This window comes from Homo sapiens, chromosome 7 (genome assembly GCF_000001405.40).
Source record: "Homo sapiens chromosome 7, GRCh38.p14 Primary Assembly".
NCBI lineage: Eukaryota > Metazoa > Chordata > Mammalia > Primates > Hominidae > Homo > Homo sapiens.
In genome coordinates, this window is record NC_000007.14 from 122,506,780 (window position 1) to 122,533,649 (window position 26,870).

General features: G+C 34.5%; 1 protein-coding gene and 1 long non-coding RNA gene across 30 annotated transcripts in view, besides 2 other annotated features; one reads left to right on the top strand and one right to left on the bottom strand.

The window, feature by feature from the left end:
- The window catches only part of CADPS2 (calcium dependent secretion activator 2), a 568,050-nt gene that overhangs the window by 188,369 nt on the left and 352,811 nt on the right, over nucleotides 1-26,870 (bottom strand). For all 29 annotated transcript variants that reach the window (NM_001363398.2, NM_001009571.4, XM_047421032.1 and 26 more), the window contains one exon: nucleotides 6,470-6,536. In NM_001363398.2, coding sequence (NP_001350327.1) covers nucleotides 6,470-6,536 — 67 coding nt within the window. The remainder of the gene's footprint in view (nucleotides 1-6,469; nucleotides 6,537-26,870) is intronic.
- Nucleotides 20,389-20,889: an enhancer, noted in NCBI's record as "H3K4me1 hESC enhancer chr7:122167222-122167722 (GRCh37/hg19 assembly coordinates)". NCBI's record gives its function as "activates a minimal SCP1, AML or CMV promoter by ChIP-STARR-seq in naive H9 embryonic stem cells {active_cell/tissue: H9 hESC(naive)}" and the evidence as "EXISTENCE:reporter gene assay evidence [ECO:0000049][PMID:30033119]".
- Nucleotides 20,890-21,390: an enhancer, noted in NCBI's record as "H3K4me1 hESC enhancer chr7:122167723-122168223 (GRCh37/hg19 assembly coordinates)". NCBI's record gives its function as "activates a minimal SCP1, AML or CMV promoter by ChIP-STARR-seq in naive H9 embryonic stem cells {active_cell/tissue: H9 hESC(naive)}" and the evidence as "EXISTENCE:reporter gene assay evidence [ECO:0000049][PMID:30033119]".
- Nucleotides 20,953-26,870, top strand: part of LOC105375481 (uncharacterized) — a 35,791-nt gene continuing 29,873 nt past the window's right edge. The window contains exons 1-2 of the long non-coding RNA XR_001745347.2: nucleotides 20,953-21,031; nucleotides 24,411-24,509. This is a non-coding gene — a long non-coding RNA (uncharacterized LOC105375481). The remainder of the gene's footprint in view (nucleotides 21,032-24,410; nucleotides 24,510-26,870) is intronic.

Sequence of the window (26,870 nt, forward strand, 5' to 3'; positions counted from 1 at the left end):
AAATGAATAAATCTTCAAGATCCAGATAGATTGGACAGGAATATTTATTGTTAACTGTGTTGTCCAAATGGTGTAAAAAGAGTTAGTATTCGGTGTACAAATTAGAGAAAGAAAAGTCAGTCTTTTCAGAACAATGTTGAGAATGATTTGCATATATTTATTTACTTAACAAATACTTAGTTTCTACTCATGTACCAGGCAGTGTTTAAAATTCCACAGATAAAGTAGACTAAAAGAAAGATAAGATCCTTCTTTTCATGGAGTATACATTCTAGAAGGAGTAAAGAGATAACAACAAAAATAATAATAATAAACATATAAATGTAAAAAAAATTTAATTGGATATAAATGCCCCTAACAATATCAAACAGAATAATGTGACAGAGAATGAGTTGAGGGGTACTTCAGGTCGCCTGGGTGGAAAAGGCACATTCGAAAAGGCAACATTTGAACGGATATCTAAATGGACATGAAGGAATGAGCCATGCATGGGGAAAATAAAAGCTGTAGGATGTTCAGAATTTCTATAAAGGGACTTAGAGGTGGCCTAACAATCTAGGTGGAAGAAAAGTAAGGGACTTAATCCAAAGGTGTATTTACACAACAATCACATTTAAAAATAACCCCAGTTTATATATTTATTTGAGGTGCCTTTGGTGGGGGTATCTGGTGACTTGAAGGTGCTAAACTCCTACTCTTGGCACTCTAATTAATCTGAGGAAAGAGCTGCAGAAGTCAAGACGTGGCTCAGTGACAGAAAATAACTATTCAAAGAGGAAGCTTGAGGCCAGAATATTTAGGACCTCCTCTAAGACACGGTTATGAGTTATTCTAAGTGCAAAGGGAGTCCCTGGAAGAATTTAAGCAGCAAATTGTCATAATGTGAGTTATGCTTTAAATAGATTATCCCACAATGTGAAGAACCTATTGTTAAGAACGAGGGAAGTGGAAGCAGAGAGAACAGCTAGGATGCTATTGTAGGAATCCATGTGATGATGGTGGTTTCAACTAGTATGGTGGTGGAGAAGATGGAGATGACTGGATGTAAATGGAATGCTGTTTTTGCTATGGAACAGCAATCTTTTCTGCCATGAGGGTAAGGAAAAAAGAGGGATCAAACATGACACCTAGGTTTTGATTTAAGTATGTTCAAATATAAGTCAATTTTATATTCCTTACAGAAGTTTGGGAAGTAACCTAAATTAAAAGGGGAATATTCATTTATATAACAAATATTTACAGATTCTCCACTATGTACAGATTCAGGCACACTACTTGTGTAGAAAATTTTATACACATACCTGTAGATATAAAGACATATATATGCATATGAATACTTACAAATACACACATGCACACACTCAGAGCGTTTTGAAATGGAGTCTTGTAGAACAATTTTCAAAAAAAATTAAGCTCACAAAAATGTAAACTTTTGTGGATTTTTAGCCAGCAATTTCATTTCTACAAGAATACTCCCACATATATATGAAGATTAATATACAAGAATTATACATATATTGATGATGGCATTGTTTTTTTCTCCTCCACAACAAAAACCACATTCAAAGTGTCATTGTTTGATTAAAAAAACTTAAATGTTCAAAGAAGGAGGATTGTTAAAGTACATAAACTTATAATATAGAATCCAGTTATTTATTTATTCATTTAAGTTTTTTTTTTTTTTTTTTTTTTTTTTTTTTCTGGAGACAGCGTTTTGCTCTGTTACCCAGGCTAGAGTGCAGTGGTGCAATCATGGCCTACTGCAGCCTTGAACTCCTGGCCTCAAGTGATTCTCCTGCTTCAGCCTCCCAACATGCTAGGATTACAGGTGGGAGCCATGGCACCTAGCCTTAGGTAGATTCTTATATGTTGATATGGCAACTTCTCATGGATATATTTTTAAAGGGGAAACAAAGCAACTCACAGAATAAAAATATATGAAATGATTCCATTAGGAATGAATGGATGTGTGTTTCACATAATGATGAATTAAAGGTGCCTAACTCCTTCAAACAAGTTTGGAAGGCCACACTATTAGCAATGGCTACTTGGCGACTTTTGCAAAGGATAGTAGAATAATGTGGTAGTGCTGGCAGGAGTGTTGAAGGGGCCTTTCATTTTCTACCATAAAAATTGCATGGTTTGATTTTTATCCTACACTGAGTATGTTCTGGGTTTGTAAATTTTAATCCCATTTAAAGCATAAAGCTATAAAGTCATTATGCCATGATTTTCTTGATTTGGCAACAATATCTCTGTTCACTTCACTTTATCTTACTGCCATTAGCAAACATCAGCTAGTGTCCCAAACTAAACCTAGAGGATATAACAGAACTTCATGTTCTTCAGGTGGTAGTTTCATTCTCAAGTGAGTGAGAGGAGTCTGCTGTAATGGGTCCCCATGTGTGCTGAATATTTCAGAAATCAATAGGATGGGCAGCCACTTCTTTATGTTGAAAGCAGATCTTGATGACATCCCACTAACAGAGTGCCTCTCATACATCTGCAGCAGGTATGGATCACTCTGTGGCATGGCTGACTGTTTACATCCCGTGCCAACTCAGCTGATATGTAATTAACATTATGTCTTGATAGCCTACTGTTGTTTGCAGAAACTTCAAGTCATGATTCTGACACATCAACAACAAGCAGTGAACACTTTGATACAGGGCCAAAACAACACAGACGTCTACTCAGTTTCCAATGATGTCACACAGTCAGTGGCCTTCATGAGCACAGGACTCAAATTATACCATCACTCCCTGGCCATTTTTCCAATAGAGTAACACTGTTTTGTACTTCATGAAATGAATGATCCATAGTGATTAATCACATATCTGTTTGTCTTCAGATGAACTGTAGTTATGTGCATCAATGTAATCATAGCAGTATGGCAGAGGAAAGAGAAGTTTGACAGAACTGGATTTGCTTGACTCTACAACTTACTAAACTGCATAATCCTGAGTAAGTTCCATAACCCCTCTGTATTATTTTCTTATCTGTACAATGGGTATAATAATAATACCTACCTTCACGGGCTTATTCTGATAAGATAAAGTATTACAAATGTTTTACATAAATGCTTGCCACAAAGTACTTGCTTAATAAGTATTAGATTTAATATAACAATAATTATGTTAATTGGGGAGTGCTTCAGAATTATTTACTACAGAATATGGAATACCTGGGACATACATTTTTGAATAGGCATTAGCAAAATATAGAATGAAGTAATAATTCATTTGTTCAAATCTCAAATACAGAGTGTTAAAGGTAACAGATTATTTTATAATAATGAACTACAATATATTAAAGTATCTTAAGTACTTTACACCAATGATATCTTCCAAATCTAATAATAAAACACTGAGCAAGCACAAGAAAAATAAGTAACAAACATATACAAGTTTAATTCTGGTAGTATTTCAAGCATATTCTTCGAAATCACTGTTCTTTCAATTTGGCTTGAACCAAAATTTACCTTCATTAAAAAAAGAGGCCTCTTAGAAAGCATTAAATTCTATTTATTATTATAACTATATTGGCATCAGAATATAAACAGAGACCAAAATGATCTTACTTGGAAGCCAAATAAACACTCAATATTAACAACTCATTTATTTTCCCACCTTTTGACTCCAATTTAAATGTTTACATGAGAGTCTTTGAAACGTCTTTTCACCTCAGTGGCTCCTCGAGTGTTCACTTTGAACAATGACTTTGCAGCTGGCCAAACCTTACTCTCAATCAATTTTTATGAGGACAAATTCTTGAGCTGATGGTTGGATTTCCAGTGATATCACTCATAATACACACTCACAAGTGGTGATGAGATTCACATTATCAACAGAGCATCATTCTGCCGATGGCAGCGGCAGACACAGCAGGGGTATACTGTCCTCCCTGTGAAAACGATTCCTTCACCTTTCAATAATGCAGCCTGCAGGTATGGACCTACAAACTGTGTGTGGATAGAATCAGAGCTGCCTTTAAAAATATTAATAAAAACTACCCAGTTCCTCCCAATGGGTAATTCTCATTGAATCTCCATACATATCCATCTTGATTTTGAAGTGTGTGCCCTCAATTTGCCTTCCCATTACGTTTGGAATTGAATGTAAGATTCACTTGTGTTTAAAACTTGTCAGAATACTCGCATGGATTCTCAGTTCATTTGGGCATGGAATTCTCTGCATGAATGCATGTGGATATATGCACATATATGTGTGCAAAGTAAATACATAATGCTTAAACATGACTTCAAATTTTAAAAAGAAACCTCAGGTAGAATAAATTCAAATTCATTATAGTTTGGTGGTACTTTCTTAAATTTAAATTATGAAACATATGGGTTTGCCTACTTTGAATTAACTTAGATATCCCTTTTAAGATATAAAGCATATGTTTGTTACTGAGAAAACACTTTTAGCTCCCCAAAGACATGGTTAATCTTCCCCCAAAAACCTACCAATTAACAGTCTCAAAGTTTTACAATTCCTTCATTTCCAAACTCTCTTATGAGTAATAATCAAAGTATACATATTTGCCCTATAACTTCTGAGTCTTACAATCATATGCTAGAAAATAAGATAAGGGGCAAAAGATTACTTGGAACCTTACCTGGCAAAAAGCATGAGGTGATCATTTGACCTCTTAAGACTGATCTACAAAAGCCTAACTTTCATATTCAAAAAATCAGTTAAAACAATCAAATAAAAAAAAACCAGCGACTAATGCAAATAACATACTGAACATCTGTGGTTATTGGGTTACATTCCCACGTTCTTTCATGCCTATTTCCACCAGTTAAGACCTATGCTTGCTAAGTTAGCTGGGTTTGTTCCCAAACTAGTTTATGCTAACAACATTAGCCATTGAAATCATGTAGTTAAATGAGATTTTACATAAATGCATAAAATAACTGAAAAAGAAGCTGCTGTTTCCATGAAAAATCAGTTGAATGCTTTAGAAAAACTTGATAAAGACAAGTCACTAACACAACTTTGTCAAATTAGATATGAATGAAATATATCCATAAGATATAAATGTGTCCAGAAGTATCTATTAAAATTGCTTAGGAAACACATTTTAATTCATGCACCAATGTCAGAAACGAAATGTGGAAACTGTAGAAGATGGCTTAAGGTTTTTGAAAAATAGATGACCCACAACCCCAAACAGGTAACCTTTTTCAAAGCAAATGCTAGGGCTCTATACAAACAAATTAAATCTGTGTGTGCACGTGTATGTATCTTTTATTAAAGTTGACCAACTATTAGTTCTAATCATGTAAGAAGAGGTTACTTTTTAGCCAGGAAAAAAAAAATAGGCTGGTTGTTTGCCATGTAGATAAAACTACTTTTCACTGAGTTTTCACACTTTTCATGGAGTTACCAGGCTATCATGGGACATCAATAAAGTAATTTTATCCAGCAATTGATGGATGGCTGTACGTACTCACTGGAAGACAGCAAATGATCATTTTCCTTCCTTGGCATTTTACTATGTCATTCTGATCTAGTCCAGTTAAGCTTGTTTAATGTGTGCCATTGGAATCAATGAGATTTTTACAGAATGTTTTGTGTTAAGAATTCCAAGAGTGATACTCTTTTCATATATTGGGAACAAAATAGCTTGGATTTATCATGGACTGGAATGACTATTACTTAGAAGGGTATTCTTTAATATAAATTTAACTTAATTAGTATGTTCTATGAGCAAAGTTATCCATGACTACAAAAGAAGAGTCAGCCAAACTGCATGTTCTGATAATATATGTTCAGAATCCAATCGTAAGCAAATACACACCAGTCAAGTTGACTTAAAAACATATTTATGTGAACAGGTGATTTCTTGGCTTATTTGTACTAAATGTGGCATATTTGCATTAAATGGCAGCATATTTGCATTAAATATGCCAGTTAGTACAAATATATTTATATTAAAATCAGTGATTATATGTATTATGCTTTATATATAAAATATAGAATGATGCAGTGGTTCTCAAGGTATAGTCTTGGAATCCCAGAGATCTCCAATATCTTTTCAGAGGGTCTACGAGGTCAAAACTGTCTTTATAAGAATATTCAGAAGTTATTTGTCTTTTTCACACTTTTTCTCCCATTAGTATAAAGGTGAGTTTTCCAGAGGTTACATTTTATCTGATATTGCAAAAAATTGAATGCAGAAGCTGATGCAAGAAAACAGTTACCTTCTATTAAGCCAGAGGGTAAAGAGTCCAAAAGCATAAAACAATGCCACTTATTTCACTAAATTGTTTGGCTTGGAAAACAGTTATTTTACATAAAAACTTTAGTGTTAGCATGTAATGAATGTACTGCTTTTATTTAAAGTGGCTTAAACATATTTTAATTTCTAAAACAGTAAATTTTGATAGATATAACCCACATAAACAAATTTTGAGAACTGCTATCTTAGAGTGATTATTTAACAGGAAAAAATGACTAACCTGAACTAGAACAAAGTAACGTTTTTTCCATCTTTTCCAAACCTTCTGTCCAAGGGCATACAGATATCTGGAAAGAAAAACAAAAGCCAAAGAATACTTCAGATGAATAATGTTGTGCTTCCATGTAATCACATTTCTTCCATAGGTATTTATTTTTGAGACCAGCCTGCTAAAGGCAAAGTTTAGCTCATTTGGAAAGTGAGACAACCTGCAGCTTCTGTGATACAAAATGAGTTAGCTTATTCTGGGTTCTCGAAAGGGAATTGATTTATGTGACTTATCAATTTGTCAGTCCTTACCACAAATTGAGCAAAGTAGGAATTAGAAAGGATAATCAAAGAACCAGTAGGAATTTTATTCTTACATGCAATTCTTAGGAGAGACAAAGGCTATTAATTGAGGACATGGTTATCAATGCTTCAGTTCTCAGATGACTGGAGCTGAGTAGTGCGCCCTGAGGAGCAGCCAGCTGCAGAGCCAAGAATCCAGGGTGAAGGGTCACTGTCCAGCTGGGTGACCCCAAAATGTGCCTGCACCAATCTCAGTCTCCATGTCCTCACCTATCAAACGAAAGGATGGATTTGCTGATTTCTAAGGTCTCTGCTAGCTCCATCATTATGGGATTTACCTGACTTATGAAAGCATCTCACTGCAAATGTTTTAACTATAAAATTCTGATAGTAACGAAGATGCCATTGGGTAGTTTTACATAGTTTCAACCATGGCTTTTCTTCAACTTTGCATTGACCTTAGTAAGCTGAATTGAAATGATTAGCCAATCATTTGAGAATATTATTCTTACTGAATATACAAATGATATACTGAAATATCAGGGAGGAAAAAGAAGAAATTAAAAATTAGTGTGACCATGTTGTGGAGAGCTATTCCAAAATTATGCCACAAAATTATAAACACACTCCCTACAAAAGTGGAAAATATTGCTAGAAGTTTAAAATATGACAGAGGCCTAATTTTAAGACTAAAGAAAGATTTTTCAATATTTTATAATCCTTTATTCTGAAATGAAGGATTAACAGTGCAGAGGCTGTTCAAACGAAATTTATATACAATTCTGAGTGATTTTTTTAAAGGAGCATTATGATTATTTATTTAGGGGCTTAAGATTTTTAGACTTTCACAACTTTTAAAACTAAAATCTTAGGCTGAATCTTTAATTTCTGTCTTATTAAAATAATCCTATTTTGCAAAACATAACAAACATACTGTTTGCCCCCCTCCCCCCTTTAGAAACAGTGACATAGGGAGTTGGCTAAGGTGTGGGGAATTAATGCGCACTCATTCACTACTAGTGGGAGTGTAACATCTTGGGAGATGATCTTCTTGTAGGATAACATGTCAATACATCGAAATAGTCATACTCTTTCATTCCTGAATGTATTAAGGTAATAAGGAGGTGCACATAAAGGTGTATGCTGTAGGGATACATAGAACAGTGTTGTTTATATTATTGGAAACTGATAACAAATGTCCAACAGCAGTAAAATTAGTCAATACGTGCTGGCATATCCACAGAGAAATACCATGCTGCCAATGAAATTATGTTTTTGATAAAATTAATAACATAGAAAGTATCACATTGTGTAATATTACATGAAAAGAGTAGGATTCAAAACTACACACATAGTTAATGATTTGGAACTTGTAAAAGAATATGTAAAAATAATTCCAAAATATTACTAATAGTATCTTTGAGTGGTAGAGTTATGGCAGATTTAAGTTTCCTTCTTTATTCCCTGAAAATTCACAGAAATTTTCAGAATCCAGGGGGGAGAAAAAAACATGGAGTTACTAAAAGTCAAAATAAAAACAAAGTTCTTGCATTGTAAAACATCACCCAAATGGTCCAAACCAATTATATATTTTCTTTCAGCACATCAGCTAACTGAAGTTTTTGGTGAACTTCTATTCAGCATTTATGATACCGTTAATTCATTCCATTATCTGTGCTTGTGGATGGAATGTGAATTCATTTAATGACTGGCTGAGACATTACTGCTCTTATTCTTACCTGTTCATTGTTTTTTCTCAAGGACCCCTTAAAACCCTTTGCTCCACCTTTGCTCTAGCTTCTAATTTCTTCTCTGTGGTTCTAGTGACAGGTATTTAGTTGCTCTCTTTCTGTCTTTCTCTGCAATTTCCTGTTTTGAAATGCACATATCCAAGCTCTTATTTCAGGGTTAACAGCAATGACCTCGGGAGCTAGATGCTGTGGACATGACAGGTGCCTTTTATGAAAGTGAACTAGCAAGATATGCACCAAATAGCTGGCTTGGAGCCACAGAGAGCATCTGGAATGACCTTTGCCTGGAACCACAGCCTGCTTCTCAGCTCTTTCCAAGTGTCTCACTTTGCAGACTGTTGGGCAACTGGGTCATATACAAGTGAAAGTAAATAGTGATACACAAACCATCAACACCACAAGCTACTCAGTGTCAGTCTTGCTGACAGTGAAGGTCCTGCATAAAGAATAATAATCAGCATTGCACATGTATATATATGTAACTAACCTGCACAATGTGCACATGTACCCTAAAACTTAAAAGTATAATAAAAAAATTAATTAAAAAATAATAATAATTATATGTATTTAAGATTAATATGCTTTCTTTCACCTGACATTTGGTCAATTTTGTTAATTTCTTTATTAAAAAGTTTAAAAATATATTTGGAAAAAAAACATGCAAAAAAAGAATAATAATCAGCTGCAACATCATCAAAATGACAGATTAACAAAATTGGATTAAAATATATGGTTTCTTTGAAGACAGAAAGCAGGGGGACAGATGGATACATACATGTTGTATTAGGGGTTAGTAGAAGATGTTATAAGGAACAGAATAAAAGAGAATTTGTGATTGGAACCAAGGTAAGCATTTAAATGATGATTTCTGGGATTAGGTATCAAGTATCCCTATCTAGCTGCTATTTCACTGGTATGAAAGCAGTTTCTTAGCATAAGAAACACATTGAAAAATGAGTGAAGAGCCAGATGCAGTGGCTCATGCCTGTAGTCCCAGAACTGTGGGAAGTCAAGGCAGGAGGATTGCTTGAGAACAGGAGTTCAAAATCAGCTTAGGCAACATAGCCAGACTCTGTCTGTACAAAAATAAAAATAAAAATTAGCTGGATGCAGTGGTACACACTTGTCTTTGCTACTTGGGAGGAGGCTGAGGCAGGATAATCCCTTAAGCTTAGGTTTTGGAGGCTGCACTGAGCTATGACCATGCCACTGCACTCCGGCCTGGGTGACAGAGCAAGATCCTGTCTCTTAGAGTAAATACATGAAGAAGGAATGAAGATAAAAATGTTCATCAATATTATTTAAGAATAAACACTCAAAAACAATCTAAAAATCAAAAATTAAAAAATAATAATTTTGCCATTAAAAGTGAGGCCAGATAAAGAATTACTAATGATATGGGAAAATTCTTATAATGTTAGGTTTTAAAAAAGCAGTCATACAAATTCATATTATATGCATAGAGAAATATCCGGAAAAATGCAACAAAATGTTAATCTTATAGTTAATATCTGGCAAGTGAAATTAAAGATGAATTTCATATTATTCTTTATGCCTTTCTATAATTCCACAATGTCTATATTGGCCATGTCTTCCTTTTATTGTTTGAGTAGTTTATTGGTATAGTTTACATAAAGTAAAATTACCTGTTTCAGGTATCTAATTTGATAAGTATTGACACAGTCATGTAACCACCACCACAATCAACTTATAGAACATTTCCACCTCCCCAAAAGTTCCCTTATGCCCTTTATGATCAATCCCCTCCTTACATCCCTAGCTCTGGCAACCCCTCATTTGATTTCTGATTTTATAATTTTTCTTTTTCCAGAACAACATATAATTGGAATTATTCAGTATGTAGCCTTTCTGTCTGACTTCTTTCATTGAGTAGAATGCTTTGGTGATTCATCCATATTGCTGTACGTAGTTAATATCAGAAGCCCACTCCTTTCATTGCTAAGCAATATATTCCATTGTAGGGATTTGCAAGAATGTGTTTATTCACTAGTTGGTGGACATTTAAGTTGTTTTCACTTCTTTGGATATCATAAATAAAGCTATTATGAACACTTGTGTACAAGTCTTTTTGTGTAGGCATGTCTTCATTTCTCCTGGGTAAATACCTAGGAGTGGGATTGTAGGGTCGTATTGAAAGTACATGTTTAACTTTACAAGAAACTGCCAAATTGTTTTCCAAACTGGCTATACCATTTTGAGTTACCATCAGCAAATGTATAAAGGTACATCTTACTTTTGTAATCAGAGAAGGTTACCATTATTAAATATTAGGGGGATGTAGTCATTATGACTATAAATATGTATTTCTGGTACAACCAAGTTGAATATTTAGAGACCAAAGATAAAGTCCTTTATCTCATTATCTTGAGTACAGTGGAGACATCCTATAAGCTTTCATGCTTAAATGGGTTTTCTAGTTTCCAAGGTCATTCTCAAGTTTTGGAATTTAGAGTAGTCTAAATTCCTTGTAGATGGGTAATCTTTTTACCTCAGAAGGGCTGGAATGTGGAGGGAATGAGGAAAATGGAGCGAAAATCTTTTTACTGTTTGGTAACTATCAGATAATCCATTTATTAGAAAACATCTACAAAACTAAAAAAGCATTTTCTCCTAACCCATCTTATGCTTGGCATTGCTGTTGAATTACTATTCTTTGTTGTTGTTGTTTCTTAATGTTCAGTGTTGTTATGATTTTTTTTATGGTATCTAAGGCCAAAATGATTTCTATTTCAGAAAAATATACAAAAGTTACATTTAACCTGATATTATGCTCCACTAGGCAATAGATTTTGTTCATTACATTTACAGGTTCCAGTATCTTTAATTACAGAAACATGAGTTACTCTATATAGAAAGACTGTATATATATCTATAGCCAATTTTTAAAGACTTTGCATATAAAAATCAAGTTGACCTCAAATAGTTAGAAAATATAACTTGATCTTTAATGATTAGGAAGGATCCCATAGCATCTGAGAGTCACTGTTATAAAAATAAATTATAATAACTACATAATGCTGTAAAAGGAAAATGCACAGCTGATAAAATTAAATGTAACCATTTATTTGACATATAATGGAAATGGCATTAATTTAACAGATCTTCAATAGCTATTAACTTGTCTTAAAAAATTTGTTTTTTATGTTATTATCATTTGCATTCTGGACAATTGGCATTTTACTGCTTCATAAAGTATGAGTCTACCAAATAAACATATAGAAAAATATTATCTAAGAAATGCGTGTGTCAGGCTGAAGAGAGAGTACCTCGGCTAGGTGTACTAGAGATTTGCTAGCGGGTCTATGCTGCAGCTGTATTCTCCCTCAATATTTTGTAACCTGCTGAGTCATTACTACCTTCCTCATGATTGTGTGATTAACTCAAAGAAGTTTTTTTTTAAGGGTATGTAAATGAGACCTGCCAAATACCAGTCAAACTGGGAACACACATTTAACTGGGTTTTATGTGACAATTTATGATGTTATCCAATAAAATAAGTATCTATCACACAGCATGAGAGAAGCATTTTCTAATGAGTACTGTGAATTTTTTTCACGTGATTTTAAAGAGGAAAGCAGATTTTGTGTGTGTGTCTGAGGGCTTTTTAACATTAATTTCCACCAACCTACAGAATTTGGTTTTAAATATTTTGTTGTCATCTTTGTCAAATTCTTTTAGTTAAATCAGAAATATATGGAAAAACAAAAGAACACAAATATCATCAGTTTTCATGGCCATGCTACATTCTCCAGTACTCTATTAGCAAATGGCCCTGGGTTGGGGCGGGGGAGGGAATCCCCAATCAAAGTTAAATTTGATCCAAGAATTATTTGAATGGGGTTAAAAGAGGTATCCCATTGTACATGACATTTTCACAAGCACATATTTCCAAAGCTAATTTAAATATAACACTTTTTCTATTGAACTATTTCCAATGCATCACAATACTCAGGTAACTAGAGTGTTCTGGATTATTTTAAAATAACTGCCCAGATACTATTTAAAGTATTTGTTTTCATGAACACATCCAACTTAAAGCAAGGTATTAAGCAGTTGTTCCCTTTGAACAACAACAACAACAACAATTGCCTGCTTAACTTTAAAATCTTTTCTTCTTGCATGGGATTAGGTAACAAAGAAATTAGCAGCACTGAAACAAAGCTCAGATTTAACACACAAGAGTAAAGCCTTGAAGCATTTAGTTCTATCAGTCAGTATAAACATAGCAATAATCATAAAGTATTAATCCCTCTCTTGGGTTATTTCAAACGGAGAGCACTATTTGCTCCAAAGAAACACACAACTGATTGCTAGGAAACAAAGCACAAAGACAACTAAATATATTCCAGTTTCATTCATCTATGACTTAAAAAAAAAATCCAGCTATCCTTAGGTCACACTGTATCATCAAATATCAGAGATATGAAGAAACTAAACTTTCAAATTTTTGATTATATATTTAATATATGATGTAGATGTGTAGAATATATTTTATGCTGTTTGGGAAAAAAGTTAAGAGAAAACATTTTTTTAAATGGTATTTGCCTAATTGATTTTTTTTTAAAGGAAATGGCCAGTCCTTAAGCCAAAATAGTTACTACCAACAAGGCAAATAGTATATTTTAAAAATCTTCTATATCTGTAGTTATATATAATCATTAGCATATCTCAGTACCTACAATCTTTTTGGTGTAAACATGTCAACATGATTCTTAAAAGAGTCAACTATTAATAAGGTAGCTGGAAGATAACACCACAATTACTTCTAAAAGCTTTCATTTGCAAACAAAAATAGTCTTTATGAAATCCATCAGAATGTTCCGTGACAGCAGGAACAAAAACTTTTCTTTAGAAAGATTTCCTGATCATTAACATATGTATTTTAGTACCAATAAAATGGTTCTTGGCAATAGATTTATTGAGTAAAATGAAGTTTAGTAAAAATAAATTTCAAGCATTAACGCTGCAATGCTTATACGACAAAACTATTTTAAAATGCTTGTCTTTACATAGTACCCGGTTGAATGTGTGTGTTTTTTTTTTAAGTAGATTCATATGTAATATTCTGATTTCTTTTCTTTTAAGCCAAAAACATCAGAAGTAAGTTTAACCATTAAGCCATTTTCCTTTAAATACTATATATTCTTGGCTAACATTTATAATCACAAAAGTCAATGACATTTTAAGAACTCATTTTCTGATTAAAAAATTGAGATTTAACTCATCTTCATATCACAATATGTTTGAACTATATCCCATATTATTCTAGTAATAGTAAAGACATAGCTAATATTCTCTATGCCAGATTTTATATAGAAAAGAGTAAAATGAAATAAAGAACTCGCTTACCCAAACACTTTAAAAGCACTTTATCAAACCTTTCTAACTTGAAGATTGTTCAAAGAATACTTCAACACACACAAATTCTCCAAACACATTACTAAATATTGTAGTTTAGTTTCAATTAGAATGGTAGCACACAATTCTAATAGAAATGAGAATATGACAATTTATTTGCACTCAGTCCATGCTGTGAGAGTTCATGGTTTTACTTTATGATGAAAAATCATCACTAATGAATATTTGAAAAACATAATTGTATACAGAAGATGGGAATTATTTGGTGCCTGAAAAAAAGAACTATTAATTTTGGTGGATCACTTATGAGTCTAGCGCTTTATTCAAAGAAATGCAACAATCAATTTACATGTTGAATGATAAAGCCTTTTCTTCTACAAGCCTTCATTTTTCAAGGAACAATACAGAAAGAAAAAAAAATCAATATATAGAGTAGTTTAGTCCTGGAAAGGGCTTTCATAAGAGAAACCTCAGTCAAGGTTGAAAGAGCAATTAATGCAGGCTCAAAAATCTGGGCCATTCGGATAGAGTTCGGTTAACATGTGGCAGAAGTAATCATCCACTTGTGAAAATGATTTTCGGTTCATTCTCAAACACCTTTCAGACACTCATGATCCCATTTAACTGACAACAATACAGGCTATCTGTGGGCACCATTGCATTTGAAGTGAAAACCAATAGGGACCAAATGCCCTCAGGCACTTTCAGTCATCCCTACAAGTTCTCTGCTGCTTGCATAAAAGGAATCTTCCTTTCACTACATTCTTTCTTTTATTTGACCCCACAAGATTAAGACTTTTTTGCGGGGGGGTGAGGTGGGGGGGCTTGTTTCAACTAAGGATGAAAAAAGAAACTGATTCCAGACAACACTGGGACCTGGGCATTAAGAAACTTAGAAGTAAATACTTTCTGGTTGGTTATTATAGGCTTGAATTATTATGGGAAACAGTAAAAGAGAGGTGGGGATGCATGGAAAGGATCTTCATCAAACAAAATTACATAACATTTGTGGAGAAATTATGACTAAAGAAAAACCAATAACTCCTATTGTTGAGCAAGAACTTAAAATTTATGTGCTATATAAACAGGAGATTCCTAAAAGCAAATGCATAAAACATAGAGTTCTTCACTTATATTAGGTATCACATTTTATAGAATTGTCCCTCTTCCTTTTCCTGAGAAGTTCTACCTTCTGTTAGTTTCATCTCAGTTAAATCCAAGTTAAGCCTCAGCTCATATCAGCACTGTAACAGTTTAAAACAGTTTAAGACAGTATAAAACTATACTAAAAATTTGCTTGCTATAGCAAAATCTAGAAAATGAATGAAGGCAAACTGCCCAGATAAGACCATAAAACCCCATTCCACCCTCAGATAAGACATCAAGAACTGCTGATGCAGTTCTAGCTGATCATTCTTTTTTTTCTCTTTTTGCAAAATAATTCATTTTATTTTATTTATTTTTGAGACAGAGTCTCACTCTGTTGCCCAGGCTGGAGTACAGTGGTGTGATCTTGGCTCACTGAAAACTCCACTTCCCAGATTCAAGAGATTCTCGTGCTTCAGCCTCTTGAGTAGCTGGGATGACAGAGGCATGTCACCATACCCAGCTAATTTTTGTACTTTTGGTAGAGACGGGGTTTCACCATGTTGCTCAGGCTGGTCTGGAACTCCTGAGCTCAAGTGATCTGCCCACCTCAGCCTCCCAAAGTGCTGGGATTACAGGTGTGAGCCACTGCATCTGGCCCCTTTTTATTAAAAAAAAATTTTACTGATATGTATTTTACATGTTTATGGGATACATGTGACATTTTGATACATGCATAAAATGTGTAATGGTAAAATCGGGATATTTGGGATCTCCATCACCTCAAACATTTATTTCTTTGTAGTGGGAACATTTCAAATCTTCTCTTCTAGCTATTTAAAAACATACAATAAATTATTATTAACTATAGTCACCCTATTGTGCTATTAAACAGTAGAACTTATTCCTTCTATGTGACTATATGTTTGAACACATTAACCAACCTCTCTTCAGCCCCATCCTCCCCATCCCCCACCCCCAACACCCTTCCCAGCCTCTGGTAATTATCATTCTAACTTCTATCTCCACAGATCAACTTTTTTAGCTTTTACATGTGAGAACATGTGCCATCTGTCTTTCTATGCCTGGCTTATTTCACTTTATATAATAACCTCCAGTTTCACCCATGTGGCTGCAAACGACAGGATTTCATTCTTTTTTATAGCTACATAGTATTCCATTGTGTACATGTACCACATTTTCTTGATCCATTCATTTGTTGATAAACAGGCTGATTTCATATGTTGGCTACTGAGAACAATGCTACGATAAACATGGAGGTACAGGTATCTCTTTGATTCACTGATTTCTGTTTCTTTTTTAATAAACAGACATTAGTGGGATTGTTGGATCACATGATAGTTCTATTTTTAGTTTTCTGAGAAACTTCCAAGCTGTTTTCCATAATGGCTGTACTAGTTTACATTCCCACCAACAGTATATAAGAGTTCCCATTCTCCATATCTTCTCCAGCATTTTACAATTGATCATTATTAAAGGATATATCTTAATATAGATGTCAATGCACTGTCACCTAGAAATAAAACAACTAGAAAAATAATTAATTCTATAAAATGTAGTTTTCAATAAATATAAGCCAAATAACCCAACTAAATCAAACTGTGCAGATAAATATTTTATTAAAAGACAGTTTTTCCTGATATTTTTCTTTGCTAACTGGTCATTGGCATTCTTTTATATCTCAATTAGCAGAAAAGAAGTACCTTGATAAATATTTTTAAGTGGTTCATGATCAGTGCTGATATTTATACGACTGTATAAATATGTTAGGTCTTTATTCCTTTTTATTTTTAAAAATCAACCAACAAATTGTATATATTTATGGTGTGCAACATGTTTTGAAATATGTGTACATTGTGAAATGGCTAAATGAAGTTAATTAATATATGCATTACCTCAATATATTCTACCACAGGAGGCATATTTCATAAAGCATGGTTTCATGTTTTTCCTCAATTTAAATACCCTTCAAAATTTTTGTCTACACATGCTTCACTGTTTGCTAAAAGTTAAAGAAAATTAGTAGGCTTTCCAAGCTGATTATAAAATGTCTCAGAAGTAAATAAATGGGAAAAATGTCCAAAGAATTTACTGAGTAGCCCCCTCTACCCCAACCAGGCAAACTTGCAGAGAGGTCTATTCCTCCATCCTCTAGGAAGAGGACTGGGACTGTGAAAATCTGAATGTCTCTGGGAGTAAGCCTATGGCACATTCCAAAGAAAAGGACATTTTGCATCTCTTGGCAAAAAGTCTCTGAGGCATCTAACAATTAAAAGGAAATGATTTACTTATGCAATCCTAGACATTTTTGTGAGATACTCTATTAAGCTTTCCTTTCCCTGAAAACGTAAATAGTTTAGCAAGAAACAAAAGGTTTAGCAAAGGCTTTTATGTGTCAAACCATATCATGTTGACTAATAAAAATACATTCTCTTTTAGGGCACATTATTCCCAAGATATAACAAAATGATCAAATGTTATTTAACATTACATGTAATACAGGTAATCCTGAATTAACACAAATATGTTAGGCCTTCATTTCCTTTTTTTTGGAAATGTAGGTATCGGTCTCCCTTTTTCATATTCAGAATTTCAAGTGAAATATGTACATAAAATGCCCATTCTATAAACTACATACACTCTAAAAAAATAATTAAGATGACAGTTTGAGATACAGTGTTTTCCACAGTGTGTGTCTTGGAACATCTGGATACAAGGAGGTACTGTGAAGAAAAAGAATGGCAAATAAATGTGAGGAATACTCAGTTAAACAAAACTAAGCAAGTTCTGTATTTATTAAGGACTTCTAAGAGCCTGTAGCAGACATGTGCAAAGGTAGGGGAGAATAGTGTATGTGGTATCTCCAAAAGTGCAGAATATTTTCCATAGAATATCTGTAACAGTCATGTTCTCTAGCACATACTTTGAGAAATTAACTGGACTAGATTACTGTTAATGAGTCTTTAAGCAATAAAATTATATAACTGGGTTTTTACATTGTTTGGAATTAACTAATATCCTAGTCATAATTAAAATACCATCTTCACTTCTAACATATTTTTACTACGTATCTATAAAAATGTATGTTTGGGGCTGGGTGTGGTGGTTCACGCCTATAATCCCAGCACTTCGGAAGGCTGAGGTAGGCGGATTGTTGAGCCAAGGGGCTTGAGACCAGCCTGGGCAACATGGCAAAAACCCCATCTCTACAAGAAACATAAAAAAATTAGCCATGTGTCTGTGGACCCAGCTGCTCAGGAGGCTGAGGTGGGAGGAATCACCTGAGCCTAGGAGGTCCAGGCTGTGGTGAGCCATGATAGTGCCACTGGACCACAGCATGGACAACACAGTGAGACCCTGTCTCAAAAAAAAAAAAATTCTTTAAAAAGTTTTCTTTAAAATTTTGATCATAATCTCCATGGACTATACTTGGTTCCTGAAAGGCCTCTTCTTCTAGTATGTTGCTCTCTGGTCTTGGCTAATGAGGACATTTTAGCAGAGCTCTGAAATTTAGTAAACAAACTATGTCTGTCTTTAGAGTAACATCTTCCTGTAACTTATTTACAAAGGTACCTAAATTCCTCCTAACACTCAGCATGTTTCACAGATTTCCCTTCCCAATAGCCTCTTCTACGAAAACTATGTCACTTGAACTTCAACTTTACACTTTGTGACCAATCTTGTCGGTAGTCAAGGAGGCTTGTGGAGTTCTGATTCAAGGCTGGAGGAACTGAGCAGTAAGATACGCTTGCTGTTAATCCAGCTCTGATATCATCCTTTGGCTTCAGTGTCTCAGTCCCTGCCCTGCTCCCTTGTGTTTAAATACAGTCATACATCGCTGAATGATGGAGGCCTTCTGAAAAATGCATCATGAGGCAATTTTGTCTTTGTGAGAAGGTAACAGAGTAGACTTACGTAAACCCAGATGGTACAGCCTACTACATACCTAGCACATACTTTGAGAAATTAACTGGACCATACGGTTGAGTTATTAACTGGTTATTATATTATGGTTAATTGAGAAATTAACTGGGCTACATGGTACAGCCCATTTCTCCTAGGCTATAAACCTGTACAGCTTGTGACTGTAGGAATTGTAACACAATGGCAAGTATTTGTGTTTCTAAGCATATCTAAACATAGGCTACAGTAAAAAAGGTTATAATCTTATGGGATCACTGTCATATATGCCATCAGTCATTGACAAAATATCATTATGAGCTGTGTGCCAGCAGTTGTTTTGATAAGCTGCCCAATACCCCAGGCTGAGGACACAGCTTTGCTCTTGTTCTTGCTAAACTTTCTCTGATACTTTGTGCTTGAATTCTTGACGTGTTAGTTGGTCAGAGACATTTCTGCAGTTGCTCACATGGATAAACACTGTGTTGATATCCTTTGATACACTTATTTATTTATTTATTTATTTATTTATTTGAGGCAGAGTCTCACTCTGTTGCCCAGGCTGTAGTGCTATGGCATAATCTCGGCTCACTGCAACCTCCACCTCCCGGGTTCAAGTAATTCTCATGCCTCAGCCTCCTGAGTAGCTGGGATTATAGCCATGCACCACCATGCCCAGCTAATTTTTCGTATTTTTAGTAGAGATGGGGTTTCACCATGTTGGCCAGGCTGGTCTCCAACTCCTCGCCTCAGGTGATCTGCCTGCCTCAGTCTCCCAAAGTGCTGGGAATACAGGCATGAGCCATCCCGCCTGGTCTTCTTTGATATTTTTATTGTCTTCCTTTGACACGAAGAACTCCTCTGTACAAATACTCTCTGGGTTCTCACTACTCTTCCAATTGTTCACATGTAGTGTGTTTCACCCCATTTGTCCCACACATTGTACAATTTCATCCATTTCTAACACTTATTTTTAAATTGATTTAGTTCTTGAGTCTCATATTTCCCATTTATTACCGTCTTCTTAGCTCAACTATCATTTTCTCAGAGAACTTTCTGCATTGCTAATTAGGTCATATTCCTTTATTATACCAACTAGGTGACATGTAGACATTTCTTCCACAAAGTCATGGCCAGCAGATTGTTTGACTAATGTTTACTCCCCACACAAGACTGCAAACTCCATGAGGGCAAGGGCCATATCAGCTGTGACTCACCACTCTATCCTCATTGTCCAGCACTGTTCCTTCATATGGCAGACACTCCATAAACATTTTTGGAATGACTGAATGGTCTTTTCCTAGTTTGTCATTAGGAACAATTGTAATAAAACTATAATAAAGGAAGTAAATATTTTGCAAAAATTATACAACATATATCAAAAATGTTAAAAAGTCTTGGATAGCCTTTGGATTTTTGATAAAGGTAGTATATTTAGATCAAGAGTATTCAAATAATTTTAGCAGCAGAATATTACCCTGAATTTTAACTTAATGTGAATGATGAAAACATTAAGGAAGCATGGAGCAGCTGCTGTGAAAACAGGCTTGGAGGTTCAGGAATCTAGTGCACCTTAAGCCCCTTTATGCCGAAAAGGGACTTCCAGGGCTCTTCAACCACCGCTGAAAATGGCTTCAATCTCACAGCATCACAAGGACCTTTCAGTCAAAATGGAACAGAATATATTATATGTCTAAAGATCTCAAAATGCTACCAGATTTCTAACTCTCACTAATATGCTAAAAAAAAAAAAAACACAAAACTGTCTGATATTGACAGTTGGAATCTCTGAGGAGACCAAGTAATTCAGTATCTCTTTTCTTTGCCCGAGTTCTGAACAAATTGACTTAAAAGAGTAGACAGAGTACAAAACATCACCTTTAATACTGGTAAAGATAATACTGAATAGAGAGAGAGAGAGAGAGAGAGAGAGAGAGAGAGAGTGTGTGTGTGTGTGTGTGTGTGTGTGTGTGTGTGTTTCCTGCAAGTGGTGGGCTTCCTTATGAGGTTCAGTATTATTATGACACGTATTTTCCCCAGCCCAGTCACAGATAGTGCTAAGAGGACAGGCTGTTCCATGAGAAGATCTTGCCCATGACAGGCTTGTGCAGAATGAACAGAGAACATTCATTACGGTAATGAATATCCCTTACATGGAAGCAAGTATTGGGAATGGAGAATAAATGTTTCCCCCAAAACAGAGAGAGAAGGGTGAAAATAATGAGAGAGACAGACAAACAGAGAAAGAGAGAGAACCTAAATGATTCTCTAAATGGCTAAGTGCCAGGTATAAGATTTACTTTTCTCATTTGTAAAACAAGAATAGCAATATTAGCTCCCTTGCTATAATAGATGGGGTCATTACAAAAATCTGCTGCAATGATGTATGAAAGGGGCCTTTGTAACTATAAAACACAATGTAGATGAAGGCATTAGTGGTGGTGGTGGTGGTGGTGGTGGTGGTGGTGGTGGTGGTGGTGGTGGTAAGCAGAACAGAAAATATTTCAACTTAACTTGTTTGAAGGACTCTTTGGGGTGTGAGGATGGTAATAAACTTTTCAGCTTTGTCCCATTTAAGGAAAAAAGCTTTCCAAGAATGGGGCAAGAATGTAAGTATATCTTTTTCTAAAATGAAGAATACCTACAATGTCACACATTACAACAACAAAAACTAGCTCTTCTTATTCATTAGATAAAAGCAATGTTTCTAAAGAGTACCTGTATTATGTTGCAAGCTACAGAATTTCTTAAGTTCTTAAGAAATTGCTACTTATCAACCAACTAACAAATTCTAGACTACTACAAAAATTATAACGTTCAGCTTCTCTCTCATGTATCTTTATTTAGGGGAGAATGAATAACTAAGTAAAGCCAGTAGTCATAAAGAATCCATGGGCAGTAAGGATGGACTACATAGGACTAGATTTATATAATGTTTCTTTTCCTTTTTAACTTAAAGCTTAAGAATTCCATTTATTTATTTGCTGACAAAACTATATTCACAGTGCTTCTGCTTATGAATGTAGGACACATAAAAATGAAACCAAGATAGTAGGAAAAATAGCTTTTGACATTTACACAACATATTCCAAATTTCAAGTTTTGGATATTTTTTGTTAAAACTGACCTTGTGATATCTTTGATTATTCATAAACTACTAAACATTAAAGTTTTTCTATATTAATTTGATACTTTCTTGACAAGTTTGATATGTCCAAAATGAACTACCACTTCACTTCCTTTTAACCTTTTCTTTTTACATTTTTGAAAAAGAAAATGTGTTGAAAATTACTTAATTCTACTTAAATAAGTGCCACTTTTATTATTAATACCAAGTTTTGTACTTTAAGACAATTATTTTCTATTTGGGGGAATGTTTGCGCCATCTACTGGACATATACATATTATTACTTTTGTCCTACAAGAATTACAATGCCATGTCCAAAGGTACTTGTGAAGTTGTTCCTTATAAACCACTCCGAAACAAAATCTATTCCTTTTCTTTCTTTTTTCTTACGGCACATTTCAGCACAGGAAATCAGTACCTTCCCACCCCAAAAAAGCAACACTAAGATATATTAGTTCAAATAACTAAATATTTCTATTTTAATGGAATCATTTCACAGACTCATACATTCATAGGCATACAAATGAAAGAGGCATAAAAACACATTTGGAGTAAAAGAAATAAGTAAGGCATTTATTTCACTGAAAAAAGTATACCCATCCCTAATTTTACAACTATTATAAGCAGAAATCCTTCTCCTATTACACATAAAACTAGGGATAAAGACTAGAAATCTGTTACATGAACTTGTAGAGGAACAATACTAATTAATAGAAAAGAATAAAAGAGTTAAAGCCAGTCTGGTGGTGTCTCTGGATTTTTCTTAATGAGTAACAACCATTAAATGGAATGGGAGGAAAATCAGCCTTTGGAAGAAAATGACTTTTAAATATATTTTTCCTCCCTGTCTTTTGGATGGCACCATCTAAACAGCAGAATTGAAAAGAAACATAAGATTTATTCAGCTTCAATTAAGAAGGTATGTTATTTTTCCACAGGAAAATAAAATGTGGATCCCGCTTGAAGATCCACGCCAAAATTACATTCCTGGGTATGAGGTTTGATTCAATTGCTGGCACATTTATATCTGCTTTTCAGGGAGATACATAAATAATTGGAAAGTTAACAAGAATTGCACTATAATGTTAATAGATTAGAATCCAAATAATTCTTTAACTCTTCAGAGGTTTTTATTTTTTATTTCCTTCCTTTGATCTACAATTAGAAAACTGGCATGAAAAACTTACTTTAGACTCTATAAGACATATTTTGGAATTAGTGCTATTTGACTCACTTAATATTTACTTTGGGCAGTTTAGAACAGAAGATATCCTCATACTTAATACAAAAATAATGCAGAAGATATTATAAAAGGTAAAGATAAATTACCATGGTAGTTCCTACAAGACAGACTTTCAGACAGATGAACACAGGTGAGTAAATGATCCTTAGTAATCTAAAAATAAAATATATTTGTGAACTCTAAAAAGCACAAAATTCTAACAAATTTCAATATAGTTTTCAACAATAAGCTTTGAAATAAGAAAAGGTTTCCACTTAGGCTTAAGTTAGCTTTTTTTTTTTTTTTTCCCACTAGCTTTCAAGTTAATTAAGCTTCACTCTATCTGAAAGTAAAAACAAATTTTAAAAAGTGAGTAAAATGAGACTATGTTACATTAGGAAATATTCTATGCCATAGTATACTCTACTAATGTTGTTAAAATAACTATCCCCACTGCATTTTATCACCATCATTTTCCTTATAACAACTTACCTTTCAAAAGATAAATTTTCTATATTCTAAGTATTGTGCTTTATGCTTTACATATCTCAGTTAATATAACAATCTTATAAGGTTTCAATTATCACTACAGACAACAGTAAGTTATAACCAACTTCTGATACTTTTAATACTACAAAAGACTGTGCTAAAAACTACACATAACTATTAATACACAATATTCATTAAATATTTATACTTTCTGACTTTGCTACAAGATTCACTTTAGCATTCTATTTAATTTTGAAGCAATGGCTTCCAGCTACCATATATATAAAATTGTCTTCAAGTAAGCTTTTTACCTCTTTTATACGGAGGAGATGGTCTTGATCTCAGAACAACAGGATCAAGACCATTCCTTGTATTCTGGGGAGAGGGACCTCCTGTGCTAGATGCTGGATTGATTGTGAATGGGAAAGTGTTCACATGTATAGAATGCCATCCCTGGTGGGCGTAAGATAGGAATCTTCACTGAGAAAAAACCAACAACAACTAAGAGTTAAGTAGTAGGGAAGCCTCACTGAGGTGCCATTTAAAGTCAGCAATCTTGAGAGAGTACAGTGTCACACTGCAGTAGAGAAACAGCTCAGAATCCATCAGTGACAGCAAGCTGTACTGGTAGTTTATTATATTCTTTGTGATTACTTTCTCATTTGTTGTCCTTTAGCATAAAGACTTTCAGAAGTTCTACACTGCTTTAACTGCAGAGAGCGTCAAAGAAAAGAGTGTCCACAATGGAAGAGAAAGAAGAAGAGGTGAAGTTAGGGTATGTCTGAGGTCAAGCACAGTATTGTGGAAAGGATGTGAGAATCCCCCCAGGAGGGGAACCCTCAGAATTCAAGTTCCAGCCTCACAGTCTAGTCATCTACACCTGCAAGATTCTCCTTCCTAAAACCAGAGGTTTGAAGTTCTTCTCTTAAGGGCAACAGTATTCTCTTTTAGTTGTTCCCACTAACTCTTAAGAATGGGGCAACAAAATTACCTACTTATTAAAAAGAGAATGAGTAGAGTCCCTATACTAATATACTTACAGATAAGAATTCTAAGAATTCTAAAACTGGTCTCAGTTGAGTCTCAATCAGTTTTTTCTAATTGTAAATGGAGATAACGATTGGTTTCCTAATTGCTTCAAAGAATTATCCAGAGGATCAAATGACCCAATATATGTATTATCCCTTGTAATAAGTATAAAGATACTACAGAGATGTTTTAAAAAATACTGTTAGCAGGCTGGGCACGGTGGCTCACTCCTGTTGTCCCAGCACTTTGGGAGGCTGAGGTAGGCAGATCACAAGGTCAGGAGTTCAAGACCAGCCTGGCCAATATGGTGAAACCCCATCTCTACTAAAAATACAAAAATTAGCTGGGTGTGGTGACAGGTGCCTGTAATCCCAGCTGCTCAGGAGGTTGAGGCAGGAGAATTGCTTGAGCCCAGGAGGCGGAGGTTGCAGTGAGCCAAGATCGTGCCATTGCACTCCAGCCTGGGTGACAGAGCAAGACTCCGTCTCAAAAAAAAAAAAAACAAAACAAACAAACAAACAAAATACTGTTAGCCTGTTAGCATTATCTTGACATCTAGGCTATGCCCCGACATTGCAAAAAGTTAGATTTGGGAAATTCTATCAATTGGCTGATTTTTCTACATAATACAACAAATGATTTATCTCAAATTGTTCCTTTTTGAGGAGGAGATAAAAATGACCATTCAACTAACTACTCTGACTTATATGGACACAGTTGCACAATCACGGGCAAAAAAATTACCTTAAGTCTTCAGGCTCATCTATTTATCTATTGCTAATGTAGGTAACTTTCCTAAGAAACACATTTTCTACAATATTCCAAACATATTAATAAGCTAATTGATAACTTAATTTTTAAAGAGTTGGAAATAAAGTATTTCAAATTGCACATATTCTAATTCAGGGGTTTTCAAATGTTAATAAGCAACAAAAATCTTACATGGACAGCTTGTGAATATACACACTGCCGCACTCCGACCTCTCCCCACCCCCACCCCCCTACCCCGCCAACCCCACAACCTCCCAGAGTTCCAGATCGACAGATCAGGCCTGAGAATTTGCATGTTCAAGTTCTCAGGTGATGCTGACGCTGCTGGCCTGGTATCCAGTATCCACACTTTTGAGAACTGCTGTTTTAATCTGTACCTATTCTGAAACTTAAAAAAATGAAAAGAATAAAAGCCAACCATCTCTGTATATTTAAAAGGTATTTTATCTAAAAGTATACAGTTATATTTCCCGAGAGTACGATAAACAATTTTAATGGAAATAAACCAAAATAACATTTTTCTTGTTTGCTTTTTAAATTTGATCATAGTGCCCCCAAGTGGATAAAAACATTACTTACAAAAAAGGAACACTAAACATTTCTCACTGGGATAGGGTTATGCGAATTTATCTTTTTATTTGTCAGAATGCCCAACCTAGTGCTTTGCCCATAACATACTCAGTAACAGGGTTAATACATAAATGCTCCGCACCCCCACCCCCATTTTTAGAAAGGCCTATCACTCTTGCCCTCTAGAGATGTGGGGCTAAGTAACCCTCAAATCTCTTTTAGCTCTTAAATTCCTACATATCTAATATGTAGGATACTGGCAGTTGTCTATTTGTGCCAGATGCTAGAGAAATTCCTTGAAAGAAAATCAATTTTTCTTTCTAGATAAAACCAATAATATCTTTATTAATATGTAGAAATTATTAATATAAAGCAGTAGTTAAAAAAATAGCCTGGAGCTTAAAGGCTTGATAACGACAAATCTCTTTAACAATTAATAATTGTCTTACCTGAATGTATGTAACTCTCTACCTAGCTCCCTGCCACCAGCTAGCATTTTTATATCCATTTCTTTATCATTCTTTTAATTTCAGAAAATACTCTTCTATTTTAAATGTACACCCATGGTCTTAAATTTTTGTAACCACTCAAATCAACAAACTCACACTGCTTAACGGAAGGACAGAAATTCAAAGAATAGAAGCACACCTTTTGGTGGCACCAATATAATGGGGCTAATGAATGCATTTACCTCTTTGTGTTTCCCTTAGCTTCCTTAAGCACATGTATTTCTCATATGAAATATCCAGAAGTCTCATGTTATTTT